General features: G+C 43.9%; 1 long non-coding RNA gene across 1 annotated transcript; it reads right to left on the reverse strand.

Annotated features, from left to right (window-relative positions):
- Positions 1 to 1084: 1084 nt before the first annotated feature.
- Positions 1085 to 9960, reverse strand: LINC00700 (long intergenic non-protein coding RNA 700). Its single transcript, NR_040253.2, has 3 exons — positions 9747 to 9960; positions 8859 to 9070; positions 1085 to 2755 (listed from the first exon to the last, which is right to left on the reverse strand). It is a non-coding gene; the product is annotated as a long intergenic non-protein coding RNA 700 (long non-coding RNA).
- Positions 9961 to 18008: the final 8048 nt, after the last annotated feature.

Below are 18008 nucleotides of genomic sequence, written 5' to 3' on the forward strand. Positions count from 1 at the left end.
CCCAGACCCTCCTTCGAGGAGCTCTCAAGCTGGCGTGGAACTCAAAGTTGTCCTCTGAGGAGAGGAGACCTGGGCATGTGGCCCACACAGGGGAGTCGGCGTAGGGGCTGCCCAGGGAGTGGGCATGACGGGGAGCTGGCTCTCCTCAGCCGAGGGGAGGCGAAGGGTCCAGCCCAAAGCTGTCTCAGCAACACTTCCAGAAGTTGTGGAATGAGTGTTCCCATGAGACTAGCCCATGTCCCAGCTATTGTTAACTGCTAAATTTAGCAAAAGATGTGAAATGGCAAATGAGTGCTCTGGAGCTGAAGAGAAAATCTGCAGATGCATTACATATTTCACTTCAGGCAGGAGAATGTACAGAGACCGAAGCAGGTCTTAGCAGGTCCTTGGCACTGACTGCTCAGGGCCTGGGCGGCTGTGGAATAAGGGCAGAACTCGAAAATGACAAACGAATGGCTGCTGGAGTCAGAAACTAGCAGCTCAGTTTGAAAAACAAAATCTATTAAAATGATTCTTGTTCATACAAAAAGTAAGGAAACCAAAATGACAGGGCTTAAACAAATAGAACAGCCTGGAAATAGACGCCATCCATGTTTCTTGATGATATGATGTTAAAATCGTAATGTTTTGGCTCAAACCGATAGTACTAGTTATTTTGATTTCAGAATGAAATGGGAAACACCGCTGTGGTGATGTCACTTGTATTAACATAGGAAAGTTCCTGAGAAAGAAGGTTATTGCATCGAATGAGAATCTGTAACTGACAGATACATTTCCTTCCTTGAGAAAACATCCCACCAGATCCTTGCAGGGTATGAACTACTCAAAAGGAGCATGGAGTGTTGATAGGTTGATGACGTTTAGAGCATCATGATATTTGACTTAGTTCCAATTATGCTGTTAGGTTAGGTTGTCACCTAATATGATTCTGACTTTAAGCATTTAAGGACTTTTTCTGATGTGAAAGTATAAAACTTCAAATGGTGCTGAGATAGTTTGAAAAAAATTAAAAATAAAACTTTTATTGAGAATAAAATATATATGGAATGGAACTTAAAAAAGACAGGAAGAATGTATACAAAATGAAGAAATTAATAATTTTATTGGAGAATGAATGTGTTGGTATTGCTTGGTAAGTTCTCTCTTCTGTGTGATGGCAGTTTTATGGCAAAGAAAGGGACATTCAGTATTGACTTCCATATTTTCACCAGCAGAGGCTTCCGATTGTAAATCTGGGATTGAGTATGCAGCAGTGAGTAATAGGGTGACTTTGTCGTAGGTCGGATATGCAGCGGTAATACCATGACTTTCTTATAGGTCGAGTGTGTAGCAGTGAGTAATAGTGTGACTGCGTTATAGGTTGGTTGGGCAGTGGTAATAGTGTGACTTTGTCATAGGTCAAGTATGTAGTAGTGAGTATTAGCATGACTTTGTACCGAGTATGTAGTAGTTAGTATTAGCGTGACTTTGTTATACCAAGTATGTAGTAGTGAGTATTACCATGACTTTGTTATACTGAGTATGTAGTAGTGAGTATTAGAGTGAGTTTGTTATACTGAGTATGTAGTAGTGAGTTAATAGTGTAACTTCGTTATAGGTCGAGTATGTAATAGCAATAGCATGACTTTGTCATAGGTTGAATTTTGTCTGAATTTGGAATTTTTATCTAAAACAGATATGTAGAAAGCCTAACCCCCACTACCTCAAAATGTGATCTTAAGCAAACAATTCAAAGTGAAATCACTAGGGTGAGCCTTAATGAAATGCCTAAAGAAGTGCCCTTATGAAATGGGGACATTTGGAGACAGATGCACACACAGGAAGAATCCACGTGAAGTCAGAGGCAGAGATTAGGACCCGTCAACAGGGTGAGTAATGCCTGGGGTGACCAGGAGGAGGAAGAGGCAAGGGAGGGCCCCCTTTACAGCACGAGGTGTAGGTTGGCCCTGACAACACTCTGATTTTGGACTTCTAGACCTCACAACTCTACGACAGTGGGTTTCTTTGGCTTTAAGTCCCCTGGTGTGTGTTCCTGTGCTCTGGAAGCCTGAGCAGGCTAAGAGAGATTTTGGTTCTGAGAAAGGAAGTGCTGTGACCAATACCTGACAATGCCGGGGTGGCTTTGGAACTGGGTAACGGTTAGAGGCAGAGAGAGTTTTAACATTTATGTCAGAAGAAGACTCAATTGTTCTGAAGATACAGTTGGTAGACATATGGATGTTAAAGGTGATTCTGGGGAGGGCTCAGACGGAAATAGGAACATGCTATTGGAAAACGCAGGAGATGATCTTTGCCACAACATGGTAGAGAAGTTGGTGCAATTGTGTCTTGTTGTGTCGAAAGTATAACCTGTAGGGGACAAACTTGGATATTTAGCTGAGGAGATCTCTAAGGAAAATGTTGAAGGAAGAGCCTGGTTTCTTCTTGCTGCTCATAGTAAAATGTGAGAGTTGGAAAAAGTATATTGAAGAAAAGATTGCTAAGAAAAAGGAAACCAGGGCCAGGCACGGTGGCTCACGCCTGTAATCCCAGCACTTTGGGAGGCTGGGGTAGGTGGATCACAAGGTCAAGAGATCGAGACCATCCTGGCCAACGTGGTGAAACCCTGTCTCTACTAAAAATACAAAAATTAGCTGGACATGGTGGCACATGCCTGTAGTCCCAGCTACTGGGGAGGCTGAGGCTGGAGAATTACTTGAACTTGGGCGGCGGAGGTTGTGGTGAGCCGAGATCAGCCTGGTGACACAGCAAGACTCTGTAAAAAGAAAAAACAAAAACAAAAACAGAACTTGAAGATTTGGAAAATTCTCAGTTTACCTATCCTGCAAAAACTCAGAAAATATACTCTGGAGAGAAAACCAAGATTGTGGCTGGACAATTGTCAAGATTCCCTAGGCAGGGCTCATGGAGCAATTTGCTGCAAACATGTGCTATGCTTCACGAAAAGGGAAGACCTCAAGGGTGGTTCAGAGGCTGGCGAAGCTGCTGCCTCCACTTCAGGCCCAGAGAGTGTGGACCGGGGTTGAACCCACTCCCTCCTCTGCTTCAGGAGGCTGTGCTTCCAGCCTGTGCAGGCTCAGGGTAGCGCATCAAGAGCATCAGGACAGTGAGGGTTGTTCTCAAGTCTTAAAATCTCAGGGGCTTTTCTCTGCTGCATTTCAGATGTGCTTGGAACCTGTGGCCCTTTTCTCCTTCTGATGCCTCTTTTTGGAGTGGGGACTTGTCCTGCACTGCCCGGAAACCAATATGTGACATCTGGTTTCACAGGTTCACAGATGGGAAAAATATTTGCCCCAGCACAGATCATACCCTGCCACTCACTCATAACCACTTTGGATAATTTAAATAATAAGATTGAGACTTTGAGTAGACACTGGAATGAGGAAAATCTTAGGGATGTTGGGAGGGGCAGGTGTATTTCTCACGTGGGAAGGGCATGAGTTGGTGGGTGTGTTATGCATTGAATTGAATCCCCCAAAATAGTATTTTGAAGTCCTAACCGCTGCACCTCAGAGTGTGACCTCACTTGGAAATAGAGCATTTACATGGTAAATCAGGTTAAAACAGGTTCGTTATGGTGGCTGTAATTCAATATGACTGGTGTCCTTATGAAAACGGGAAATTTAGACACAAAGACCACATGGAGGAAAGAAGACGTGAAGACACACAGGGGAACACAAGGAACACAACCTAAAGGTGAGGGCAGACATTGGATGGGACGGGTGCAACCACAAGCCAGGAATACCAGGGACAGCAGAGTGTGGAAGAGGCAAGGAGGCTCATCCCTTGGAGGCTTTGGAGGGAGCTTGGCTCCCAAACACCTCGATCTTGGACTTTGAGTCTCCAGAACACAGAGAAAATCAATGTCTGGGAGTGCAAGCCCTCCACCTTGCGGCGCTTCTTGATGGCAGCCCTGGGAAATGTGTGGGCTCTCAGGGGCAGACACGTGGGCATGGACTATGATTCTGCAACTTTCTAGGGATGCTAATTTAGGCAACTTAGTTAATCTTTCTAAACCTCATTTTCATCAAATGTAAAGTGGATATGGAGAGACTGCTTAAGTCACATGGCTATTTTAAGAGTTTCATCAAACATTTGAAATACTTCACCTAGTGTCTAGCCTTTTATTGTACTAGGAATTCTAGGAGCAAAGGAAAAACTATCTCAACAGTTTCCAAATCAGGTGCTCCAAAAATTCAAAATATGAAGCAATACAGAAGATGACCATGGCCCAGTGTTGCCAATTGTCCTCTGTCCTCTTCTGTTAGCATAGCTCATGTCTTGCCCTTAACCCTCCCTTCAGTCGGCCAGTGCACAGCACTTCTCCACTAATTACACAGGACACATAAACTAATAGCACAGAGAGGAGACTCGAGTGACCCTAACCCCCAAGGAGCAAGGGCTTTGCTACAGCTCAAGCAGCTTCATTTCCCCTTGGAACACGCATTTTTGTTTCTCTATCATTTACAAGAGCACCCTCTGAAGTAGGCTGTGTTTTACTGCTATACAATCACCTCTGTTTCCAAACCAGACTTGGCACGATCTGGGTTTCTCCATATTGTTATTGAACTGATGGTGGTCTTCAGGAAGTGCGCAGGCTTCTGAGCCTTTTTTCTAAATATCTGCATCTACAGGCAAAACTTATAGGCTTTATTTCAAGTAAATTTAACTTATATAACTACTGATAAATTCTTTTCTATTGAATCCTCAGCTATAAGCTTTAAAGTACTCTATAATGATTAGCTGCTGTTTCTGCTGTTGCTTCTCTTACGGTTAGAACAGTGGCCTTGAAGAGAACCACCACATTCCACTCTTACACTTGGGATTATCTAAGTTTAGATCAGATCATGAAAAATAATCATTAAATTATTATATTTAGATGAACTTGCTTGTTCTCTAACCAGGCACACCCCTTGCTGGGCTCCTGTGTTCCTCCTAGACTGGAACACCTTTGAGCTTCTTCCTAATAAGTGCTGTATTAGTCTGTTCTCACGCTGCTGACAAAGACATATCCAAGACTGGGCAATTTACAAAAGAAAGAGACTTAATGGACTCACAGTTCCACATGGCTGGGGAGGCCTCACAATCATGGTGGAAGGCCAGAAGGAGCAAGTCACGTCTTACATGGATGGCAGCAGGCAAACAGAGAGAGATTGTGCAGGGAACTCCTCTTTATAAAACAATCAGATCTCATGAGACTTCTTCACTACCCTGAGAACAGCATGGGAAAGACCTGCCCCCATGATTCAATCATCTCCCTTGGGGTCTCTCCCATAACACATGGGAATTCAAGATGAGATTTTGGTGGAGACACAGCCAAACCATATCAGATACATATCGACACACTACAAAAAGTTGTGTCAAAGTTTCTGCCAGGCCCTCCCAGGACTGCCTGTTCCTCTGAGTGTGACCCAGCCAATTCCTGAGCCCTGCTTCTTCCTGGTGGGAGTACCTATCAGATGCCCTGCTCTGGTTGCTGAGTGGTGATTTTTATCCTTTCACCAATCTGACCCAGACGTAAGATGATGACCAATGTGAAAGCATTGTGTGTGGAAGTTCTATTTCTTTCTCTCTCTTTTTTTTTTTTTGAGACAGTCTCACACTCTGTCACCAGGCTGGAGTGCAATGGCACAATCTTGGCTCACTGCAACCTCTGCCTCCCAGGTTCAAGCCATTCACCTGCCTCCACCTCCCGAGTAGCTGGGACTACAGGCATGTGCCACCACACCAAGCTAATTTTTGTATTTTTAGTAGAGATGGAATTTCACCATGTTGGCCAGCATGGTCTCGATCTCTTGACCTTGTGATCTGCCTGCCTCGGCCTCTCAAAGAGCTGGGATTACAGGCATGAGCCACCGTGCTCAGCCCTATTTCTTAATTGCTATTACAAGTTCGAGTCATTTCATTACCAATTGATTCAAATCAGTCCATAATAAGATGTCGTGGGAGACACTGTATGAAACAATCTGTGAATTTTAATGACTTCATAAATACACTTAAAAGCAACCAAAGTGTCTCTCTTTTCAATCACTTATTTTTCTGAGGAAAGTTTATGTTTTTTTTTATTTGCAGGTTTATAATTGCAATGAGCTGGCTTTAATTAATTGAATATATTTTAATATAATTAATAAGTTGAATTCTTACTGGAATACTCAGGTGATTATGTAGTTTGAGTTCTAAAGATGCAATTTGCATATTATTAGAATAATCAGAAGTACTTCAGCATTAGAAGGAAGGTAACATTTAATTTTAGCACACTTAATCATGTGGTTACCAAAGCAAAATGAGGTAGGTAATCATATGATTTATTAAGAGGTTACGACAACTGCAACCTGCCACTGGGAATTTTTACATGGTTTTCTTGAGATAAACCAGAAAGACATTCTGGGACCATTTTTCTCCTCAGATGTTTACAAAGCTCTGAATTGATCTTTCTGATTGCACACTTGTCCCTTTGCCCAAATCATCCTCCATTTTTACTTTTTAAAAATCATGGTGTGGACACATTTTTGGGGAGGCCAAGTTCGGGTGGCTGTGATGACAATGTGGCCCCAAATGGCAGAAGTGGGAAGGCTCCCGGCCCCGAGCAGAGAGCTGTGAAGACTCTCCCATTCCCTGACTTGGTGTGGATGGAACGTTCCCTGTGCCGACATGAGGCCTGGGCTCTTGTCAGCAGTGAAGGGTTCCACTGGCTGTCAGGGGCCTGGTAAGATAAGCTTTGTAAGACTGGGGACAATAGGTTCTGGTTAAGAAGCAAACAGATGGAACTGTGGAGTGAGCACAGGTGGGGCTCGGTGTCCCTGCCTGGGTGTCCACCATGGCCAGGGCCCTGAACAGCCAGGTGCGTGGGGTGGCCCTCACGTGGGCTGGAGCAGGCACAGCGTGGCCCCTGTGGCTGGGCAAGGGTGCTGAGCAGAGCAGCCTGGACGGTGCTGTCCATTGTCAGGTGCTGACCAGGACTCTCAGGAGGGCCCTCCACTGTGTGTGAGCTGGGGGATTCTCCGCCTGCTCTCCTGGCTTTGTTCCCTTTGATAACAGCTGGTGGTTGGCGGAAAAGCAGGGCAGCCTGGGCTCAGACCCATGGAGGAGGAGAACCAGCTCCCCGACCTTGCAACACCTTGGGTCAGCAGAAACGCGGCCACTCGAGCTCAGTGCGGCTTTCAGATGGATGGCAGTCGCAGGTGGCTGTTTTGTTGTCACTGTCTGTTTTATGCTTTTATTTTTAAGCTGGAATGGCCACTCTTCTGAATGCTCAGTACAAGAACACAGGGAACTTTTGGGCGTCTCAGCCTGGACAGAAATGCAGGAAATGAACCCCCCAACACACAATGCCATGTCCCCCATCTCCCCTCAGCCTTCCAGTAACCACTACCAGGACTCAGGTGACAGCTGTCCCTGAAAGGAAAGAAGCCTGCAGTTTCAGTTTCCTGGAGGCCGCATCTCCTCCCTATACAGTGGAGGTGACTTGATAACGCACCTGTGAGCTCCTATCTGCTGCCCCACTTCTGTCTTCATTCTCTGCTCCCTGCCCAAGTTCTTCCTGCTCCCAAAGAAGCTGCAGACACTCCTGACCTCGTGTCAGGTCTGTTTACCCCAAGAGAGGCAGCTACCACTGTCACGTGCTGACATGGGTTTAAAGCAAGGCTCCAGGCAGGAAAGAGGGAGAAGCTTCTAGGCCGAGCATGAGGAGAAAGGACCCAGTCTCACCCCAGGCCAGTGGCCGAGGATGTGAAAGAGAAGACAGCATGGCTGCAGGGGGTAGCCAGAGGCAGCAACGGGTGCCTGTGAGGATACAAGGAGGGAAGAAGTTGGCCCAGAGGGGTTTGCTGAGGACCAGACCACAGGCCGTCTGAGATGGCAGTAGGAACTGGCCAGGCTCAGACAGCAAGGATGAGAGCATTACAGGACTGGTGTCCAGACAGGAAGCGGTCAGTCCTAGAGGTCCCAAAGCTGGCAGGCAGAGGAGCTGCACCTGCTGTTCCTGCCTGCAGGGAATGGAGGGTGTTTCTGGGCATGCATGGCCCTGGGGTGGCCATGGCCCTGGGGATGGAGTCCTGGAGTCCTGCTGGGGGACGGTCTCATCCTTGTGCAGGTTTCTTCCCGACTTCCCCCGGAGGCCCCATGTGGCAAGTGGCACTTTACCCTCAGTCCTCAGCCTGGGGTCATGGTCCTGAGCCCTGCTGGAAATATGGGCTTATTCTAAGCAATAGCTTCCCCCTCACTTCATATCACTTGCAAATAAACATAATTTCTCCCTTTTAAAATTTGCATTATTGGATCTGTTACTTTATTTGTGCATTGCATTATCTAGCAGCAACGTGATTCTAGCAGAGGTTGGCCAGCGTCCCTGTCCTGGGCTGCCTTTGCTGGTATTTGCGAAGGGCCTCCTTCACAACTAAATGGCTTTCTTCCTTCTCTGTTTTACACAGAGCATCAAATCCCCCATGAATTGTCTTCACCAGCTTTTCTCACACGTTGGATTCGTTAGGCACTTCCATTTCTCCTTACTTACCCAGATTATATTTTAACCACTCTGGAGCTAGAAAACCATTTGTCCTCTTCAAATCACACTTCTGGTGCACTCTAGACACATTTCAGAAAATACTGATAGGCTCGAAGTAAAATGGAATTTAAAGTTCTGTTTTAAAAATGTGAATTCCATTTTTAAGTTGTATTTCTGCTGGAAAAATAATATTTACTGTTCTTTATGAATAATACAGTGCTATATAATTTTTCATTAAAACTATAAGAATTACTTCATAAGGCAATATTTTTCAAAATAGATTTATGGTATTTAATGATTTCATTAATTTTGTGTATAATGTGACTTTTAAACTTTGCTATTAATATAATCTCACCTTTAAAGTGAATGCACGTCTGAAATTCTCGAGACTCTAAATGGACTCACCCTGCCCTTCGGTTGTTGTGGGTGGTGGTCAGGTGACAGCCTGTTCTTTTGTGTCTGATTAAAGTTCGGTTGTTGTGGGTGGTGGTCAGGTGAGGACAGCCTGTTCTTTTGTGTCCGATTAAAATGGTTGGTGTATCCTTCAGTTGGATCTGCTGCAACAATCTATGAACAATGAAGATGATTTTGCCAATGTTTCTGTAGAAAAAGACCTTTTTAGAACATACATATTAGGTATATTTTTAGCACAGTAAAATGATTTTTCAAAATCAATGCACAGCAGGAAATGGTAGCTTGTAATATTTCAGTATAGTCATATGAACAGAGAATTCCTTAAAGTGCAAATGCAATTTTAGTCCATGGGGCTAATTTTGATCATGTTAAGCTCTGTAAAATCGCAGGAGCCCAGTTCATATCTCACTAAATAAGGGATTTCTTGAAAGAGTCATAGGCAGATGTCTCTATTGGTATGAAATGCATGGGAGAGGCATAAGACCTTATTTGTGTTTGTTTAGTAGTTCAGCCTCTGGTTTATAGGACTTTTGGGTTTTTAATTTTAATAACAAACCCTATTTAAACTCAGGTGAACACTCTCTTATCGTTGGGGCCTACTGTGATCTGAGTGTGTGCGCTCCCCCAAATTCCCATGTTGAAGTCCTCACCCCCAACACGAGTGTATTAGGAGGTGGGGCCTTTAGAAGGTGATTAGGCTCTGAAGGCAGATCCCCTGTGAATGGAATTCCTGTCTGCATGTAGGAGGCCCTGCCGAACTCCTTGGCCCTTCCACCATATGAGGACACAGCAGGAAGGCACCGTCTGTGAACCAGACAGCAGTTCTTACCAGACACGGAATCTGCGGGACCCTCCATCTTGGACTTCCGGCCTCCAGAACGGAAGTCAATGTCTGTGGTTTAGAAGCTGCCTGTTCTGTGCTTTTGTGTTGCAGGCTGAGTGGACTAAGGGGCATATTTCATGCACTTGTTTAACTGGATTCTCATTTTGTCTGGTCTGCGGCCATTCATGTTGCCCACTCAGGGTTTATTTACAGGCACTTTGCCTGTGTCTTCAGGGCATGGCCCTTCCTACAGCCATGTGCCCCGTGATCATTATGACGAGAGGCAGAGACAAAATGCCTCTTACCTCTTACACCATGCTGTTCAGAAAGTCCGGCAAGCTATTTTGTTGTAAAAGAAAATAGCATTAACTACCAAACGAAATCATACTGCCTGTGGATTTTATCATTCAAGATGTTCTGAGTAAAGCTGTCCTTCGTAAATAAAGAGCTGTCCTTCATAAATAAAGGAGTCCTGTTTATTTGAAGTGTTTTATTTTTGTTGTTGTTGTTGTTACAAATAGACTCACTCTAAACCAGTGAGCAAATATAAGAGCATATATGCCAGGCGGGAAAATCGTGACTCAGCCCATCCACACAGGCGCGTTTCCTGCGGGCTCCGTCCTGACCCTGCTTCCAGCGGCATTTCCAGTAAGGTCCAGTCATCAGTCTCTCAGATCCACCTAACTCACGCTTCAATAGCCCTGTTCAAAACTCTCCTTCTTCACTGTTTTACATATTCAGGTGAGGTTCTGCTCGGCGCACTGGTGAGTGCATGCTTTCTCCCCACAGCGCTTCTCTACCTCAAGAAAGAATTCACGAAACCTCTCTTAAGGTGCCTCCACCCAGCGAATGTTCCTTCTTTCTCTGCATCTCCATTGGGAGGCAGGTTCTATGCAGCGAGTCTTTTTCTTTCTTTCTCTGTCTTTCTTTCTTCTTTCTTTTCTTTTCTTTTCTTTCTTTCTTTCTTTCTTTCTTTCTTTCTTTCTTTCTTTCTTTCTTTCTCTTTCTTTCTTTCTTTCTTTCTTTCTTTCTTTCTCTCCCTCTCTCTTTCTCATTCTTCTTTCTTTTTCCTTCTCTCTTTTCTCTGTTTCTCTCTTTCTCTTTCTTTCTTTCTTTCTTTCTTTCTTTCTTTCTTTCTTTCTTTCTTTCTTTCTTTCTTTCTTTCCTTCTTTCTCTTTCTTCTTTTCTTTCTTTCCCTCTTTCTTTCTTTCTCAGGTCTCGCTCCGTGGCCCAGGCTGGAGTACACTCGTGGCAGGATCTCGTCTCACTGCAATCTGTGCCTCCCAGTTTCAAGCGATTCTCCTGCTTCAGCCTCCCAAGGTGTTGGGATTACAGGCACCGGCCACCACGCACAGATAATTGTTGCATTTTTTGTAGAGACGGGGTTTCTCCACGTTGGCCAGGCTGGTCTTGAACTCCTGACCTCAAGTGATCCACCCACCTCGGCCTTCCAAAGTGCTGGGATTACAGGCGTAAGCCCCCGCACCCGGCCCACACGGCAAGTGCTCCTATGATCCTGCTTTTTGTTGGGTCACATTGTGAAGGCTGGAGGTGATCACTGAAGCTGATCGTCTATTTGCTGTGTAGAGAAAATTATATTGATACCAAAATCAACAACCAAAATGCTTGCTTTTATCTGTTAAGAATTAAGTGATCTCTTTAAGTTTTATATACGTCTATGGCATTCTCTGCTGGTAGGCATTAGCCTCTCTCTAGGTCCCTGGAATATTCTGAGATACAGAGATCATTGATGGTAGAAATGAGTTCTATTGAAGATAGTAGTTGATTTTCCTTTCCAGTATAGTCTAACAAATTATACGTGCAAATTTAATGGGATCAGGATAGAAAATAACTGCTGAAAAAAAGGAAGGATGTACTTACTTCAAAGGACGCCACTGCCACACAGCATGGCAGCAATAACACCTGGGCTAACATCTGAAAACACAGCACCGATACTTTCAGTGGTTAGTAATAGAAGGATTGTTTATAACCCTCCTGAACTGGGAAAATGATGTATGTTCTGATGGAATCAGAGTTCACTCTATGACGTGCAGAGGAGAGATGCAGAGACTGAGAACAAAATAAATTCTGAAATCCAAAGCAAGGGTTTTATAACAACGTTGAGTTGTTTTGTATTCAAATAATTTCCCCCGCATTATAATAAACTAAGCACATTGTTGAGCAGGGCAAGAATACAGTGGATAAAAATGGAATTAAATAATCAGTTTAGTAATTCTGTCTTGAGTACCTACTGTGTGTTAGTTTGCTCTGCAAACTGTCAATTTTAGTTGAACTTATAAGCAAATACAGATGCATGGACCTTTGCCTGTGAATCTGAGAACAGTTTGGTCTAACAGGGGATGAAGGGATGGCAAAAAGCCCTCTCTAAACCATAGATCATATAATTAGAGTGAAGCTTTTCTCTAGGCTGAAAAGTAATTGTTGGCAGGTGCACATATCAAAACCAATGCCAAGATGCATAATGTTGAAGAATTATTATTCTAGTTATCACAACTTCCCTCAGTAATTCTAACTGTCAAGTTTTGCTGACCGATTATACCGAAATAGATAATAATATGGACTTGTGCTGAATTGTGCCTCTGGATAATTGCATTGTCATACTAAACCATTAAAACTGCTGAATTATTATTTGCACATCTTCTTGGACACAAAAAAGATAATCCCGTCACAGAACCAGGACAGAAGCAGGCTGGTGTTGACATGCTTTGAGTTTCTGTCATACGCGGAGCCTGTCATGGGCAAAGCAGCCACTGTACACCTCACAGGCACTCACACCTCATAGAGCGCCCAAGTTAACAAGGCCAACACAGTGCTGAAACCTCAAAACAGAATAAAGTGTAATTTAACATGAAAAATATATTCAAACATATAATTTAAGAAACACTGAAGATCATGTTTACATTAAAAACTGTTTTTCTATGCAAATTGCATTTTACAGGTCCCAAAGAGATTGTGCTGTGTAGAATCTGAAAAAGCTCATGATAACTTTTTAAAAATACAATCATTCATTCATTCATGCAAAATATTTAGCAGACATGACAGAAATATCGGCAGAAGGCTGTGAATGCAGAAATGTTCTGCTATTGATCTGTTTAAAAAGCCAAGTGTTTTCTTCTTTTATTTTTATTTTTTTGCATTTCTTCCTGCAGCCTCTGTCACTGTGTGTATGCATGTGTTATCTGTATACATGTGTATGTTTGTGTGTGCACATTTGCATATGTCTATATTTGTCTGTATGTGGTGTATTTGGTAGGGTGTTTGTATATGTATGTGCATGTTTATGTGTGTGAGTTTCTGTGTACATACACATGTGTTGTGTTTGCAGTGTGGTGTGTGTATGTGTAGTCTAGTGTGTGTGGGTGGTATGGTGTGTGTATGCATATGAATGTGAGTCTGTGTGCATGTATGTGTATGTCTGTATATGTTTGTGTGTTTCTGTGTGTGCTGTGTGTGCTATGTATGTGTAGGGGCTTGTGTGTGATGGAGTGCCCCATGAGGTGAATATTCATAGGTGAGCCTGACTGTAAACATCTCCTTCCTTGCAGCCAGCTGCTCTGGGGCTGACCTCCTGCACATCCTCTGAGGCAGGTGCCTGGGCTTTTCACCTGGACAACAGGGCGAGACTGGGGAGTCGCTTGCACCCATTTTCATAAAATTATGACCAAGAAAACAGCGGCTGCAATCTGATTGTTGCTGATGTCTTAGAGATCATCCTCAGACTTACTGGACTAAACAGCCATTCTCAACACCCGATGATACCCTCCAAGGGCCCATTCCTCCTCCTTAAGAAATGCCTGAAGTCAGGTAGTATGATGCCTCCAGCTTTGTATTTTTTGCTTAGGATTTCTTTGGCTATATGGGTTCCTCTTTGATTCCTTATGAAATTTAAAATAGTTTTTTCTAACTCTGTGAAGAATGTCAATGGTAGTTTGATGGGAATAACACTGAATCTATAAATTACTTTGGGCAGTATAACTATTTTCATGATATTGATTTTTCTTATCCATGAGGATGGAATGTTTTTCCATTTGTTTGTGTCTTCTCTTATTTCCTTGAGAAGTAGTTTCTAGTTCTCCTTGAAAAGGTCCTTTATATCCCTTGTTAGCTGTATTCCTAGGCATTGTATTCCCTTTTTGACGATTTTGAATGGGAGTTCATTCATGATTTGGCTCTCCGCTTTTCTATTGTTGGTGTAAAGGAATGCTTGTGGTTTTTGCACATTGATTTTGTATCCTGACACTTTGTTGAAGTTGCTTATCAGTTTAAAGAGTTTTTAGGCTGAGATGATGGGGTTTTCTAAATATAAAATCGTGTCATCTGCAAATACAGACAATCTGACTTCCTCTCTTCCTATTTGAATACCTTTTATTTCTTTCTCTTGTCTGATTGCCCAACCAGAACTGCCAATACTACGTTGAATAGCAGTGATGAGAGAGGGCATCCTGGTCTTGTACCGGTTTTCAAAGGGAATGTTTCCAGCTTTTGCCCATTCAATATGATATTGGCTGTGGATTTGTCATAAATAGCTCTTATTATTTTGAGATATGTTCCATCAATACCTAGTTTATTCAGGGTTTTTAACATGAAGGGATGTTGAATTTTATCAAAGGTCTTTTCTGCATCTGTTGACATAATTCTATGGTTTTTCTGTTAGTTCTGTTTATGTCATAGATTATGCTTGTTGATTTGCACATGTTGAACCAGCCTTGCATCCCAGGGATGAAGCCGACTTGATCGCGGTCGATAAGTTTTTTGATGTGCTGCTGGATTCAGTTTGCCAGTATTTTATTGAGGATTTTCACATAGATGTTCATTAGGGTTATTGGCCTAAAATTTTCTTTTTTGGTTGTGTCTCTTACCGGTTTTGGTATCAGGATGATGCTGGCTTCATAAAATGAGTTAGGGAAGAGTTCTTCCTTTTCAAATGTTTGGAATAGTTTCAGAAGGAATGGTACCAGCTCTTCTTTTTATTTCTGGTAGAATTCAGCTGTGAATCCATCTGGTCCTGGGCATGTTGTGCACATGGACGGCATTTTTTTTTTTAGTAGAAAGAAAGAAAGAAGGAAAGAAAGAGAGAGAGAGGGAGGGAGGGAGGGAGGAAGAAAGGAAGGAAGGAAGGAAGGAAGGAAGGAAGGAAGGAAGGAAGGAAGGAAGGAAGGAAGGAAGGAAGGGAGAGAGAAATGCCTGGTGTATGGCTCTCCCTGTCAGCTGCCTCCTCCTATAAGAAGTTGTGGTTTCTACAACATCTGTTCATGTTTGTCCATGCTGGCACATTTCCCTGATTCCCTGAAAACTTTGTCTTGTAGAACAGCAAGGGGCTGCCTTGGGCAAAATCCAGAGCTGGGCTCTTCCAGACAAGCTCTTCTCTTCTTCCTGGGGACAGCTGAGCCGCTGCGCCCCAACACTCCCGCAAGCCCTGAATTTTAGAGGAGGGGTTGGAGGCACATGCAGCCTCTTGTCTGGCTCTGATCTTGTCTAGAAGCATCCATGAGGGAGAATGTGGGTAGATTTCCAGGAACACCCTCCCCACATCTTCACCTGAGGCCCCATTTTCCAGGATTTGTTCTGTGCCCCCTGGTACTTTTTTTCCTTGAGGCAGAGACTGGGGATGAGAAATGGTTTGATTTTTAGACAAAGCAAACCCTGGCTCATTTGTATTTCTAGAAAATTCTGCCTGAAAATGGAATAGATCATTATTTAGCTCACGGTGGTCCCTTGTCACTCGGCCCCGGTCTCCTAACCTGATCATCATTGCCCCTGTGCCCTCTGAGGGCCGCTGCCAGCGTCCTGATGTGGCACCAGGAGGGTCAGCCTCCTCCAGCACCAGCGCCGCCTTCGCCACCAGCCTTGCAAGGAGCCTCAGGGCCTTGCTGGAGCCTTTGGGGATCCCCTGGCACCCCGGTTCTCATTAACACCCGCGCATGGCCCTTCTAGCTCTGCCCCACCTGGGACCAAGCCAAAGCCCTCTGTCTAAGGTTTGGGGGCTGGAATTACGTGAGTTTTCCTTTTCACTTACACTTCTGGAGCCTGGCCATGGTGAAGCAAGACTATGGTTCACCAGGACGTCCCCCAAGGCTCCTCCTGTCACTATCCAACAGGATGTCCCCAGGGGCTCCTCCTGTCACAAACCATCAGATGTCCATGCAAGGCTCCTCCTGTCACCATCCATCAGGATGTTCACAGGGGATCCCTCCCATCACCGTCCATCAGGACGTTCACCCAGGGCTCCTCCCCTCACCGTCCATCAGGAAGTCCCCCGGGGCTCCTCCCATCACCGTCCTTCAGGAAGTTCACCCAGGGCTCCTCCCATCACCATCCATCAGGACATCCCCCGGGGTTGTTCATGTCCTGGCCTGCTCTGCACACCCTGCGGCAGGCAACAAGTGTAGGGACTTCCCGGACGGTGGCTCGGGTCAGCTAGTGTTGCTATTCTTCTTGTGACCCAGCGTCAAAAGTCACATCGCGTTGCTTCTGCTATGTGCTATGGGAGGAAAGGTCCCAGGCCTACCTGGGCTCAAGGAGGGAACCATCTTTCATGGAAAGGGGCAAGGTCTCATTGTTGAAGAAGCTGGGATGGAAGAAATGGTTGCTGTCGATGTTGAACGATGAAGTCGCTCAAAGCTACTATGCCAAATATGTTGCTTCTGTGGGCTTAGTTGAGTGACCCCCAAATTCACATCAAAGTGCTAATGTTCAATATTGCAAAACGTCACTCTGTATGGAAACAAAGCCTTTAAAGAGATAATCAAATTAAATGAGACTATTATAGTGGCTCTAATCCATTCTGCCTGGTGTCCCCAGAAGCAGAAGTATTAGAACACAGACATGCACGGAGAGATGACCCTGTGAGGACACAGAGGGGAAGAGGCCCAGCTGCAGGCCACAGAGAGAAGCCTCAGGAGGAACCACCCTGACCACACCGTCATCTCCCACTTCCAGCCTCCAGGACTGTGAAAGAATAAGTGTCTGTTTTCTAAGTCGCTGGTCTGTGCTATTTTGTGCTGGAAGCCCCAGCAAACAAACAGTACTGCTTCTCCTCTTACTTCAGAAAGTTGTAAATAAAATATTGTTATCTCAGAACTGTAATCTAGGCATGTAGGACATTCCATGAGAAAACAAACAAACAAACAAAACCTAATTAGAAGCATGGAAAATGCAAAAATAGAGCTCAGGTCAACAATTAATAAATATTTAGTTGGGTAATAAAATATCGCTGTTGCCTCAAACTGGTAGCAATTTAGTGGAAAACCAGAGTCAACCCCCGGAGCACAGACCTAGGGGGTTCCAATACAGTCTTTTCTGCAAAACACCAGTGTCACTTCCACCTGGTATCGTGTCACCTGTCTCTGTCTTTCTACGCCCTTTCCTCCCTCTGTGTGCTTCTCCAGGTGCTCACATCTCCCTCTTTCGTGAGGGGTTAAGTGATGTTGAGAGCTGCCCAACGCAGAGGCAGAAAAATGTATGTTTGAAAACTTACTCTAAGGATTCCTCCAACCACCAGCCTCAGACCTACTTCACAACTACCGATTATATTTCCAGGTCAATTGGCTAACTGAAGTGTATCTCTGTCTGCCAGCTTAAATATTATTATTTATTCTTGAAACAACAACAACAAAAAAAGGAAACCATATGTCTAAATGCTTCAGAAATGGTCCCTTTTTCAATCAGCGCATCTTGAACAACATATGTGTGTATCATCTTTATTAAGTGAGAACTAGGGAGCCACATTTTTTATGGTGCCTTCACAGATTGGTGTTTTCCAAATAGGAACAATTTACATCATCACGATACATCTCTTTTGGTGTAGGAAATATTTCTGCTCAGAAAATACAGGGTTAGCACTTGGCTTGCTTTAGTCCGGATATCCCATAAATGTGTTCTGAAGAAACATGTAGATGGGAGAAAATGAATAACTATTATTCAAATGTCTGGAATAAAACAAATTCACAAACACACGTATATACAAACAGTAATCTGACTTGAGAAAGTTCTTAGGGGTGCACTTGTATCAAGATCTCTAATGAGGGTGTGGCTTTATGAAATCAAATACATGGAAGTACAGCATAAAATTATAAATCAAAATTCATTTTTTGTGCTTACCCAGGGAAGACTATAAACCAGTTTACATTAGTATTAATTTCTTCAATTTTTAAATTTCTTAAGTAGTATATATTCCTTTAAAAATAGTATCTTGGATTGCATAACCATATTTGACTTTGCAGTCACACTTCTGCCTCCTGGCTGCCA

This window comes from Homo sapiens, chromosome 10 (genome assembly GCF_000001405.40).
Source record: "Homo sapiens chromosome 10, GRCh38.p14 Primary Assembly".
NCBI lineage: Eukaryota > Metazoa > Chordata > Mammalia > Primates > Hominidae > Homo > Homo sapiens.